Raw genomic sequence first — 13,959 nt, forward strand, 5'->3', positions numbered from 1 at the left:
CAAAAGATTAAACCAGTCAGGTGTGGTGGTGCATGCTTGTAATCCCAGCTATCAGGGAGGCTGAGGCACAAGAATCACTTGAACCTGGGAGTTGGTGGTTGCAATGAGCCAAGATCGTACCCCACTGCACTCCAGCCTGGATGACAGAGTGAGACTCTGTCTCAAAACAAAACAAAGGCCAAGCGCAATGGCTCATGCCTGTAATCCCAGCACTTTGGGAGGCCGAGGCAGGCAGGTCACCTGAGGTCAGGAGTTTGAGACCAGCCTGGCCAACATGGTGAAACCCCATTTCTACTAAAAATACAAAAATTAGCTGGGTATGGTGGCAGGAGCCTGTAATCCCAGTTACTTGGGAGGCTGAGGCGGGAGAATTGCTTGAACCTGGGAGGTGGAGGTTGCAGTGAGCCAAGATTGCGCCACTGCACCCCAGCCTGGGCAACAAGAGCGAGACTCCGTCTCAAAAAAAAAATAAATAAATAAAGATTAAACAGAATATGACTCAGTGAATCCACTTAAGAGTAATAAAAACATGTCCATATAAAAACTTGTACACAAATGTTCATGGGAGCTTTATTCATAATAGCCAAAAAGTGGAAAAAATCTAAATATCCATCAACTAATGAATGGATAAATAAAATACGGTATCTTCATACAATGGAATATTATTTGGCAATAAAGTACTAATATGTGCTATAGCATAGATGAACCTTGAAAACATTATGGAAAGCGAAAAAAGCCAGTCACTGAAGACCATACAGTATATAATTCGATTGATATGCAATATCCAAAAGCGGCAAATCTAGAGAGACAGAAAATAGACTTAGTGGTTGTCTATAGCTAGGAAAGAAGGTTGGACGGAAAAAGGGAGTGACTGCTAACGGGTAGGGGGTTTAATATGAAAATGTTTTAAAACCCACTGTGTTGATGACTGTCCAACTCTGCATACTAAAAAGCAGCCAACTGTACATTTTAAATGGGTGAATTGTATGGTATTCTTAATTTTTGTTCAGCAAGTATGTATTTTTTATAATTAGAACAGAGCTTTGTCTATCTTCAACAAAATTAATGTTGTCATTAAAATATACAAACTATACTGGCTGGGTGCGGTGGCTCACACTTGTAATCCCAGCACTTTGGGAGGCCGAGGCAGGTGGATCACGAGGTCAGGAGATCGAGACCATTCTGGCTAACACGTTGAAACCCGTCTCTACTAAAAATACAAAAAATTAGCTGGGCATGTGGCGGGCACCTGTAGTCCCAGCTACTGGAGAGGCTGAGGCAGGAGAATGGCGTGATCCCGGTAGGCGGAGCTTGCAGTGAGCCGAGATCGCGCCACTGCACTCCAGCCTGGGCAACAGAGTGAGACTCCGTCTCAAAAACAAAGAAACAAAAAAAACAGAAAAAATACATATATATACAAACTATACTTTGTAGACTTTTAAATTCATTCAAACATAACCTTCTTTCAAGATGTTAAAACTAAATAAACAAATCCAAACATCTATTTTAATATCCTGATCATCTACTGTGTTCATTATTCTAGGTGTTTAGATTATAGACAAAAATCTTTGCCTTTACACAGAACTTTGCAAAGAGTGTACTTAATGGGGGTAAGAAACAACAATTAATAAATTTTATTATGTTAGAAGGTAATAGTCCACACTATGGAAAAAAAGCAAGATGGAGAACAAGAAGAAGGGTTTGCATTTTTATAATGAGAAGATGATATCTGACAAGATTTAAAGGAGACAGAGTTATCCACATAAATATCTGGAAAACGAGTATCCAAGAGGGAGGAAACATGCCAAGGGCTCTAATGCAGGAGCTTGCCACCATTTCATGATGCTGCTATAATTTAATCAAAGTATTCTAATATTGCACATTTATGTTTTCCAACATTATTATTTTTCTTGAGACGGAGTCTCTCTCTGTCGCCCAGGCTGGAGTGCGGTGGCACCATCTCTGCTCACTGTAAGCTCCCCCTCCCGGGTTCACACCATTCTCCTGCCTCAGCCTCCCGAGTAGCTGGGACTACAGGTGCCCGCCACCACGCCTGGCTAATTTTTTGTAGTTTTAGTAGAGACGGGGTTTTACCGTGTTAGCCAGGATGTTCTTGATCTGACCTTGTGATCCACTTGCCTCGGCCTCCCAAAGTGCTGGGATTACAGGCATGAGCCACCGTGCCCGGCCCATTATTTGTTTTTAATACTGAAAATTTTTAATTGAAATATAAAGGCTTTTCTTTCTTCTCTCAAACTCCTGGTCTCAAGCAATACTCCCGCCTCAGCCTCCCAAAATGCTGGGATTACAGAGGTGAGCCATGGTGCCCAGCCCCATTTCTCTCTTTCTTGTACTAAATTATTTTCTTTGGACAAGTTGTTAAGAAATTCATTTTCAAGTCTGCAGCTTTCTGTTTACATCAGTGCTTACTGTTATTCAAAAAACATATACCAGGTAAAGCTCAATATTTTCCATTATTTGGCAAATAAGTTGGTTCTTAAAAACAAAATAATTATAAAGAGTGCCACTAATCCTCCTGCTGCTGTCATTACCACTACTAACATCTGAGTTCTTACTATGTGCCAAAAACTGCCTTTTTTTTTTTTTCTTCAGACCGAGTTTCACTCTTGTTGCCGGGCTGGAGCGAAATGGCAGGATCTCAGGCTCATTGCAACCTCCAAAACTGCTTTTTATTTTTTTTATTTTTTTTCAGACCGAGTTTCACTCTTGTCGCCTGGGCTGGAGTACAATGGCAGGATCTCGGGCTCACTGCAATATCCACCTCATGGGGTCAAGCAATTCTCCTGCCTTAGCCTCCCGAGTAGCTGGGATTATAGGCATGCGCCACCATGCCCAGCTAATTTTTGTATTTTTAGTAGAGATGGGGTTTCACTAGGTTGGTCAGGCTGGTCTCAAACTCCTGGGTGGCTCATGCCTGGAATCCCAGCACTTTGTGGGGGGCCAAGGTGGGCGGATCAACTGCTCTGTATTTCATTTGATTCTCTCAATACCCTGTAAAGTAAATCTATTATTGACCCTATTTTAAGAAATCAAGGCACAGAAAGGTTAACTAACTTGGCCCAAGGTAGCAGGTAGTATATAGTGCTAGAGTCATGGTAGTATATAGTGCTAGAGTCATGTTTCAAACCCAGGCAGTCTGAGTCCACAGCCTATGATCTTAACTACTCTATATGGCTTAAAATAATCTTTCCTTTTTTTTGAATACCTATGATATTTATTTGTGTCTTTCCCTTTTTAAATTTGGTCCCTGAGAATGAATAATTGGATAAATGCTGATACTGTCATATACATGAACTTAATCACTGGTCCATGTGTTGTCCTCTTACATTTCAAAAATTTTCTTTAATAATAAAATGAACAACTGTAATCTCACTGCCCAAGAACTAGAACATTACCAAAAACGATCTTATTAAATGTTTCTCCCTATCCCTATCTCTTGGTCATTTTTGGACACATGTGAAATTTCAAGAATTAACCAATATTCTCAATTTTATGTGCATGTAAATAATACATTTAGTTGTGCTTGTTTCAAAACTTTATTAACGGTAATACATTAAAGAGGTATTTTTAAAGGGTATCTGACTATATGTAATCTTCTGGGACTTGTTCCCTCTTCCTCTCCTCAATAGTATCACTAAGATTCATCTATTTGTTATACATAACTGTAATTCATTTTCAGAAGCCATATAACATTCCATCTGTACTATCATGATTACTCAACCCTGCAAACATGGCCATTTTTTTCTTTTTGAGAAAAATCTCACTCTGTCAAATAGGCTGGAGTGCAGTGGTACAATCATGGTTCACCGAATCCTCCACCTCCTAGGTTCAAGCTATACTCCCACCTCAGCCTCCCAAGTAGCTGAGACTACAGGTGCATGCTACCACACCCAGCTAATTTTTGTATTTTTAGTAGAGATGGGTTTTGCCATGTTCACCAGGCTGGTCTTGAACTCCTGGGCTCAAATGATCTGCCTGCCTCAGCCTCCCAAATGCTGGGATTACAGCCATAAGCCATATCTGTCAATTAAAAAAAATTCCTTTCTATAGGATCACTCCCAATGCACCTTTAATAAAATAATAATAAACCTCTCTTTTAACCCTATTATGCAATTTCTCTGCTATTTACAGCAAAAGTCCCCAGAAAATTGTCTAAGTTTGCTTCTCATCCCGTTCTTTTGTGAACCCACTCCAATCAGATTGACTGAAACTGCCTATCAAGGTGACCACCAACTTCTATTTGGTCACATCCAATAGCCTGTCTCAGTTTTCACCTTAATGTATCGAAGTATTTGATAGAGATGATCACTCTCTTCTAAATATTCCCGGGCCAGGCACGGTGGCTCACACCTGTAATCCCAGCACTTTGGGAGGCCGAGGCAGGTGGATTGCCTGAGCTCAGGAGTTCGAGACCAGCCTGGGCAACACAGTGAAACCTCGTCTCTACTAAAATACAAAAAATTAGCCGGGTGTGGTGGCGTGCACCTGTAGTCCCAGCCACTTGGGAGGCTGAGGCAGGAGAATTGCTTGAACCCGGGAGGTGGAGGTTGCAGTGGGCCGAGATCACGCCACTGCACTCCAGCCTGGTGACAGAGCGAGACTCTGTCTCAAAACAAAAACAAACAAACAAAAATTCCCTATACCTGATTTCTAGGATACCATGCTCCCTTGGTTTTCCTCCAACCTCCTTCTCAATTTCCTTTCCTGGTGCCTTTTCTCCCTCCCCACTTATAAATGTCAGCTCCATCCTTGTACTACTCTATCTACAATTACTCTACAGTTTATTTCATCCAGATCCACAGCTTTTCATAATAACTCACACACAAAATTTTTCTATCTCCAGACCCAATCATTCCTCTGAATTTAAAACATATTATCTCCAAATGTGTATCTGATTTACTCCCCCGTGTTTCCCTCCTCTGTAGTTAGTACTACCATTCACCCAGGTGCTCAAGCTATTATTGATGCCTCATCTTTCCTTACACGTCTTTTGGCAAACCCTGTAGGTTCTATTTCCCAAATAACCTAAAACCTATTACTTACATCTCGCTGGCCTCTTATCTTGTCTAAGCTACCATCATCTTTCACCTAAGCTACTGAAACTGCCTTCCAACTGATTTATCCTGCTTCTGTTCTCACTTTCACTACTTCCAAACCCCAACGCTATTTTCCACACAATAGCAACAGAGTGTCTTGCTCTGTTGCCCAGGCTGGAGTGCAGTGGCATTATCTCAGCTCAACACAACCTCCGCCCCCCAGGTTCAAGCAACTCCTCTGCCTTGGCCTCCTGAGCAGCTGGGACCACAGGCACGCCCCACCATGCTGGCTAATTTTTGTATTTTTCACCATATTGGGCAGGCTGGTCTCAAACTCCTGGCCTCATGATCTGCCCACCTCAGTCTCCCAAAGTGCTGGGATTAGACGCATGAGCCACCGCACCCAGCCATTTTTTTTTTCTTTTAGATGGGAGTTTCACTCCTGTTGCCCAGGCTGGAGTGCAGTAGTGCGATCTTGGCTCACTGCAACTTCCGCCTCCCAGGTTCAAGTAATTATCCTGCCTTAGCCTCCCGAGTAGCTGGGATTATAGGCGCCCACCACCAAGCCCAGCTAATTTTAAATTTTTAGTAAAGACGGGATTTCACTATGTTGGTCAGGCAGGTCTCGAACTCCTGACCTCAGGTGACCTGCCTACCTCAGCCTCCCAAAGTGCTGGGATTACAGGCATGAGCCACTGTGCCAGACTGAGAGATCTCTTAAAAAACAATCAGAATAAGGATCATGTTACTTTCCTTGTCAAAACTGTTCAATAGCTTCCCATCACATTTAGTATAAACCACAAAGGCCTTACATGGTCTATAAGACTCTAAATGATGCTGGTGAATGGCTACCTCCTAAATTTCATCTCCTTCCAGTCTCCCTATCACACAAAGCATTCCAGCAGCATCAGTCACCTTAATGTTCCTCAAACATGTAAAAGCAAAATACTCCCTCAGGGTCTTTGCACTGCCTGAAACACTCTTCCCTCATTTAACTACATAGCTCATATTCTATGTTATGTAGGAGTTTTCCCATATGCTATCTCCTCAGTAGTATCTTATCTGACCATACATCTAAAATAGTACATATGTGGTGTCTTGTTCTGTTTTACTCTGCTTTTCCTCCAAATTACTTCTTACTATCTATTATATGCTTTTTTGTTTATTTCCTATTTTCTCCACTAAATTATAGATTCAAAAAGGGCAAAGAATATGTGTGCTTTGTTCAACAGTGAATCTAGGCTAATACCTGGCACATACAAGGTGCCCAGTAAATACTTAATGAGTGAAAGAATGTTGAATAAAGCAGACCACTAGCAATGTTATGCTAATAAATATATGGAATGTGCCTTTCATATTCCTACATAAGTATATAATTACAGATTTATAATAACCATACTTTTATTGGTGAAATTAAACTAAACTGCTAAGAAATTCTCCCTTTAAAAACATCATCCATAAAGAGTTTTAAGTCCAACTTTAAATGTATTTGCCACATGGGAAACTGCCTTTATTACTTTTTCCTAAGAATGTAACTAAAGGGAAATAAGCAAACAAAAAAGTATTTTATTGGCATACTTTACCGTTTCTTTTGGACCAGGGGTGTAAGCATGAACTTTTCACAAGTGCTTCATCAACTTTTCCTCCTGACATGTTATCCATGAACTGACGCCCATGTTCTAATGCAAGGTAGCAGTCATTGCAACAGTCACGCTCTTCAACACGTACCCAATTGCTAATTACACCACTTTTAGGAAAAGGATCTTGGTCTGCTGCTCCAAAGGGTGAAAATAAATTAGTGCACTGATCTTGTAGCAATAATATCAAATCATCAGATAATTTTTCAGATTCCTTTAGTCCTCCATTAACATGTTCAGCAGAGGTAGCCCTGAGAGCTTCAAAACGTTTTTCTGCTTCTTTGCCACAGTCTGTATTGCGTCCTATGATATCTAGTTCATCTTCAAGAAATAATCCTGAATTGTTTCCAAATTTTCTGTTCATGACAGCACTGAAGCCACAGGTACACCTATATTGTGCTTCCTGCGTTGGATCTGGAATGTAAACTCCAACATCGGCACCCTTGATGTTCATGTTGCAAACACAGATGCAACAACTATCAAAGTTACAGTCTTTAAACAAATTCATAACTGATTCTGAAAGGATGAGGTTTACATAAAGACTGTGTGCTTCAGGGATGGAAGGGACAGTTGCAGGTTCAACAGAATTAAGGGGTCTGCATGTAGATGGGGTAGAAGCTGGTGAATACAAGTCTGAATTTTCATATTTGACTGAACCTTGAGCACTAGCAGGTCCACCAGCTCCACGAGGAGTCCGAGGAGTCCTTGGAGTCCTTGGAGTTGGAAACCGAGGGGTGGATGGAGAAGGAAGAATTCCTGCTCCGCTGTTACTAGGAGGTGCACTGCTAGGAGGCATCCCAAAAGAAGTATGAGTTTGAGGTGTATAAGCAGTGCCATATTCTTGATCCATATTACTTCCATCACTATCATCACCAGGGTAAAAGAAGATCAAATATATATATAAAGGAACATATTAGTAATGTGAAATACAACTAAAAACGTCCCAAATGTTTTTCAATTACATAGAAAATTATGAAAGGACAAGTATTGCAAGAATTACAAGCACAGTCAATTCTTATTTCTGGTTAACATATCTACTCTAAGTGATTGTTGTTGACTAAGGATCAATTAACAAGTTCAAAAATCATTAATAAGCACTCTATACACTAATGCATACCTAGACATCCATATTTACTATCTATAAATTTTGTTTACTAGAAATACTTATATTTCCTTGATTCTAAGATGCTACTGACTATAAAAAAAGAAAAATGATTTTAGAGATGCTCATGTGTAAAAAGGGAAAAATGGTAATTTTAAAATGCTACCACTTATAAGACATCTCAGATTCAGATTTCTTTTAGCCTTGAGTTGAAACTGACCAAGTCAGAGATGTTAAAATGTGAAAAGTGTGGAAAAGATGGCAAATGTAAAAATGGGAGCAATTTAAAATTGCAGCCCAAAAGAAAAGGTGCTTCGGAATACAAATCAAGCATAATAGTCTTAAGTTTCCTAATAGTTTATCCATACCCAATTAACCTTTTTTTTTTTTTTTTTGAGACAAAGTCTCACTCTTGCCCAGGCTGGAGTGCACTGGTGCGATCTCGGCTCCCTGCAATGCCTGACTCCCAGGTTCAAGCCATTCTTGTGCCTCAGCCTCCCAAGTAGCTGGGACTACAAGCATGCGCCACCACGCTTGGCTAATTTTTGTATTTTTAGTAGAGACGAGGTTTCGTATGTTGGCCAGGCTGATCTCAAACTCCTGACCTCAAGGGATACGCCTGCCTTGGCCTCCCAAAGTATGGGAATTACAGGCGTGATTCACTGCTCCCAGCCAATCACTATAATTGATTAACCAGAAATAATTTTTAGAATTTTCAAAAACCAATTTTATTTTTCCAGCATACCAGGTAAATCTATGAAAAAAAAATTAAAGCTGTATAAGCAGTCACATACTATTGTAACAACATAAATCATACCCCTCTTTGATGAATGGCATTGAAGGCCCTGAAGAAAGCAATTCCAATTTTCCAACAGTCCAACTCTGACGGTAAATACACTCTTCTGGCAATTTGATAGGGGGCAGATATTGGCTTGGTAGAGTTTTTAGAGGTGCAAACATGGAACATCCCACTAGAATTTGACAATTTTCAGGCTTATAGACATAAGAAAAATCCTACAATATAAAGATGGTAGGTTTTCAGTATCTTATCTTCTAGGAGGAAAAAATAAATAAACAAACAGGCTCTGGACCTTTTTTCCTTTCTTTAAACAGAATAAAATCTAAATACAATTCTATTATTTTCTTAAATGCATTCTTAATAGTGACAACAATAATTCAGTCCTCAACTTAGCTACAAAACCGCAACCACTATAAAATAATTTTTGACTATAGCAACAAATTAATTCTATAAGAAAATATAGGAAGTGAATTATTTTTCTAGAAAAAACATACTTACTTTAATTTCAGAAGGTTTGGGGCTACAGAATCCCTCATCAACCTCAATTTTGAACTGCGCTCCTATACTAGAACTATTTCCTTCTAGAACAGTTCCTCCAGGTGTTGTATCCATACTACCATATTCTTTATTATTCATATTCATTGGGGAAAATCCCATAATATGTTGTTCCAATGATGGTGGTGTAGGATACATTTTATGAAGATCTGCAGTGCCTATATTTAATAAAAACATACATTTTAACATGACTAAAAATAGGCGAATCTGTGTTTAAACCAAAAGGAGTGGGGAGCTTTGTTGAGATTAAAAGTTCGCAAATTTATCTCGAGCACAGATGAGGGAAGCTTACTTATGCAAGATAACGGGTCCAGATTTCCTGTCTTTGATTCCTTGCAGCTGGCTTTATCATCTGATCCATTTGCTGATTTTTTAGATCCAGGCTATTTAAAAAAAGCACATATTTATCTAAAATTTTACATCCAATGTGATCTCAAAATAGTAATCATTCAGATATAACTTAACAGTAAAGCCCATTCATTAAAAGTAGTATTTTGAATCTGTGATACAGCCAAATACATACTAGTGTTGAAAGATATAAAATATTTCTTAATCACTGACTCCAGATTAATTTATTTGGTAAGCCTCCAAATTAAAAGGAAAAAGTTCCTCCAAAGAAAATGACCAATACTTTCAAAATACACAGAAGTAAGGTTAACCTTAACTTAAAACCCAGTAATAAGAGGCCGGACATGGTAGCTCACACCTGTAATCCCAGCACTTTGGGAGGCTGAGGCAGGCAGATCAATTTGAGGCCAGGAGTTTGAGACCAGCCTGGCCAACATGGTGAAACCTCATCTCTACTAAAAATACAAAAAATTAGCTGGGTGGGGCATGCCTGTAATTCCAGCTACTCGGGAGGCTGAGGCACAAGAATTGCTTGAGCCTGGGAGGCAGAGGTTGCAGTGAGCCAGGACTGCACCACTGCACTCCAGCATGGGCAATACAATGAGACTCTTGTCTTAAAATAAATAAAAATAAGAAAACCTGCAATAAGAAGGGGTTGTAATTAACATTAGAAATGCTTCTTGGTAAAAGATACTTGCAGAGAAAGCATTTGTCTCCTTAAGTTGAACACATTAAAGTTTCCTATATAATCAATCACTCACCTATCTAAATTCTTATTTATACTTTCACCTTGTTTTAATAGTCTCCCTATTCCTGCAAAAATACTGTTAACAGGTAAAACTAAGTACAAACTTCAGAAGATCTAATGACAAAGCAATAGAGTTCCTAACTTTTAGTAGATTGAACAAACAAGTTTTACTATCTCCAAGCTCTTACCAGTGTTTTCAGAGCTAACATTTGTTCCATGTCTTCTGTTAGACAGTCTGTGATAAATATTAATATGTAGACCACGTTCTGACTACAATCTTTTATTTCAGAGGAACCACAGCTGATACAGGAATGGTAGTAGAGAGAAAGTATGAATGTGCCAAAGCATTCAAGGATATAGTTGCCTAGTAAAGGGTGCCCTAAAATGTACTACATTATGGGATACACAGTAAAAGTTTATGTATCTGCAATATATATATATGTATATGTACACACACACATATACACACATATAGAGATATATATGTTGAGAGAGGACTAAATGCATATTATATAGGAAAGGAAAGATCAAATGTACCATAGAAGTTTCCAAGCTACCTTTATGCAGATGAAAAGGAATTCCCTTTTATGATAATGCAGCACCCAATTCATTAATTTGACAGAGACTTGACATTCTAGGGAATCTCATTTTAAGCTTTAATTTCTTTTATCTTCACCTTTCTCTGCAAATGGGTGTTAAAGATTAAATATTATTTTTTTCCTCTTTTATTGTTATATCATGTATCTGTCTTATAATAGCTGTGATGCAAAACAAATTCAAAAGAGCTGGTATTCCTTAATAAATTGACAAAGCAAATAACTTTAATGTCAATTATGTATGTGTTCTCTGAATGAGTAAATTCCAGAGTCATTTCTCAAACTACAGAATCAAATAGGAAAATAATTCTGCTTCCTAAAACTACAAAACAGAACATACGGCAGAGCTCAAATTAAGGTTAATCATGTGTCCCCCAAATGTAAAAACAAAAGGAGAAACAAAACCCTCAAAGTTTATAGATGACACTATGGCAAGACTACTCAAACATGAGATTTAAAAAAGAAATCAATGAATGAGGTTTTACTATATTTCCTATTGTTCAGGGCTAAAACATAGTATTAAACTCACAAATCACTTCTAAAAAATAAAAAAATAATAAAATCAAGGAAAACAAATTATAATCCTATTCATTAATGAGATACTCACTGTTAGTTCATCTTCATCAGAATTGAAGAGATTATCAAGGTCAGTATAAGAGACAGCCAGGTCTGAGTCATAAATCAAACTTGTTGATGGAGGACGGGCATGACTAGTAGGGCGTGGAGCATCTACAAAAGTCAATCAGAAAAATAAAATTAAAACTGCTACTACTATGCCTGTAATCCCAGCACTTTGGGAGGCCGAGGAGGGTGGATCACGAGGTCAGGAGTTCAGGACCAGCCTGGCCAAGATGGTGAAACCCCGTCTCTACTAAAACTACAAAAATCAGCTGAGTGTGGTGGCAGGCGCATGTAATCCCAGCTACTTGGGAGGATGAGACGGAGAACTGCTTGAACCCAGGAGGCAGAGGTTGCAGTGAGCCGAGATAGCACCATTGCACTCCAGCCTGGGAGACAGAGCGAGACTCCATCTTAAAAACAAAAACAAAAAACAAAAAAAAACCTGCTACTAATGACCACATAAGTACTATTCTTTTTAAATTAGACATATAACTTTAAGGTCATAAGGGGATTATGCAACAAGAAATTGTACTTTATTGTTTAAAATCGAGAAAGTGTTTTTATAGAAAAAAAAGTTATAAATAAATGATTATATCTTTCCCAGGAAGCTCACTATAAGGTCAGGTAATCCATAAAATAGCTAAGTACTCTACATGAATAATTAATGCATCAAATAAAAATATAAATACTATTAGAAAAACAATTAAATACACATACACATACTTGTAATTTTTTTTTCTTTTTTTTGAGACGGGGTCTCGCTCTGTCACCACCAGGCTGAAATGCAGTGGTGCAATCACACCTCACTGTAGCCTTGACCTCTCGGGTTCAAGCAATCCTCCCACCCCAGTAGCTGGGACTACAGGCACGTGACCCTATGCCCAGTTAATTTTTTTTTTTTTCCTCGAGTTGGGGTTTTGCCATATTGCCCAGACTGGTCTTGAGCTTCTGGGCTCAAGCAATCTGCCCACCTCTGTTTCTGAAGTGCTGGGATTACAGGTGTGAGCCACCTCACCTGGCCTGTATTTTTCTATCTTTCTGAAATGTAAACGAAGAACAGAACAATGATCAAGAGCTGACTCTTGGGCCAGACAGACTTTAATCTGAATCCCAGCTCCACCACTAACAGTATGACCCTCGACAAATTACTTAATGTCTCTGTGCCTCAATACCAAGAATAAAATGTAATAGAATGTTGGTAATGTGCTTCGCCCAGTACTAGGTGCTTAAGTACTAGATAAATATTACCGCTTAGTTACCGTACTACAATTTTATTTTCCTACCCTCTCGCCCTGTTTTAGGGTAACAAAAACATGATACCAATTACAATGAAAATTAAACTCCCAATATATTCCTGCACAAGAAAAACAATTTGATACATAACCTTCCAAATCATTCTCTGTTAACTGACTTGAGAGTCCTCGTTTTCAGAAAGATAAAAGTCACTTCCCCAGTGTCTCTGGTGTGTCAGTTCTAAAGATTCACTAGAGTTGTGCCTTTGAAATTTTAAAAGTAAAAATCATCTAAGATACTTACTAAAAACCAAGATTTTGAAGCTCCACCTTGGAGATACTCCAGAATGTAGCATATGTCTCACATTTTGAGAAAGCTGAACTACAGGCACAAGAAGGGGCTTACATGTTTCCTATATCCCAGGGAACATCCTAGCATAGGTAAGTAGCCCAAACAACCCAATTTGTTTCCGAGTTTTTTCGTTTTTTTTTTTAATGTATGTATTGTGAAATGACTAAATCAAGCTACTGAACATATTCATTACCTCATATACAGGTACTTTTTTTTATGTTGGGAACACTTAAAATCTACTCTGAATTTTCAAATATACAATCTATTATTAATTGTAGTAACCACAATTTACAATAGATCTCTTGAACTTATTCCTCCCAACTGAAATTTTGTGTCCCCTGGCCATCCCCATTCCCCTACCCCCAGTCTCTGGTAATCACCACTTTACTTTCTACTTCCATGAATCCAGCTTTTTTTTTTTTTTTGAGACAGAGTCTCGCTCTGTCGCCCAGGCTGGAGTGCAGTGGCGTGATCTCGGCTCACTGCAACCTCTGTCTCCCGGATTCAAGCGATTCTCCTGCCTCAGCTCCCAAGTAGCTGGGACTACAGGTGTGTGCCACCACACCCGGCTGATTTTTTGTATTATTAGTAGAGACGGGGTTTCACTGTGTTAGCCAGGATGGTCTCAATCTCCTGACCTCATGATCCACCTGCCTTGGCCTCCCAAAGTGTTGGGATTACAGGCGTGAGCCACCACGCCCAGCCATATATTTTAATTTTTAAAATATTTAACATTTGATTGATTGATTGATTGGAGATGGAGTTTCACTCTTGTCACCCAGGCTGGAGTGCAATGGAGCGATCCTGGCTCACTGCAACCTCCGACTCCTAGATTCAAGCAATTCTGCCTCAGCCTCCCAAATAGATGGGATTACAGGTGCACGCCACCACACCTGGCTAATTTTGTATTTT

General features: G+C 39.1%; 1 protein-coding gene across 4 annotated transcripts in view; it reads right to left on the reverse strand.

Moving 5' to 3' along the window:
- The window catches only part of MED13 (mediator complex subunit 13), a 122,674-nt gene that overhangs the window by 32,953 nt on the left and 75,762 nt on the right, over window positions 1-13,959 (reverse strand). For all 4 annotated transcript variants that reach the window (XM_011525551.3, NM_005121.3, XM_011525553.4 and 1 more), the window contains 5 exons: window positions 11,450-11,571; window positions 9,443-9,533; window positions 9,094-9,308; window positions 8,614-8,810; window positions 6,641-7,557 (listed from right to left, as the gene is read on the reverse strand). In XM_011525551.3, the coding sequence (XP_011523853.1) occupies window positions 6,641-7,557; window positions 8,614-8,810; window positions 9,094-9,308; window positions 9,443-9,533; window positions 11,450-11,571 (1,542 nt within the window). The remainder of the gene's footprint in view (window positions 1-6,640; window positions 7,558-8,613; window positions 8,811-9,093; window positions 9,309-9,442; window positions 9,534-11,449; window positions 11,572-13,959) is intronic.

Source organism: Homo sapiens, chromosome 17, assembly GCF_000001405.40.
Source record: "Homo sapiens chromosome 17, GRCh38.p14 Primary Assembly".
In the NCBI taxonomy this organism is placed as follows: Eukaryota; Metazoa; Chordata; class Mammalia; order Primates; family Hominidae; genus Homo; species Homo sapiens.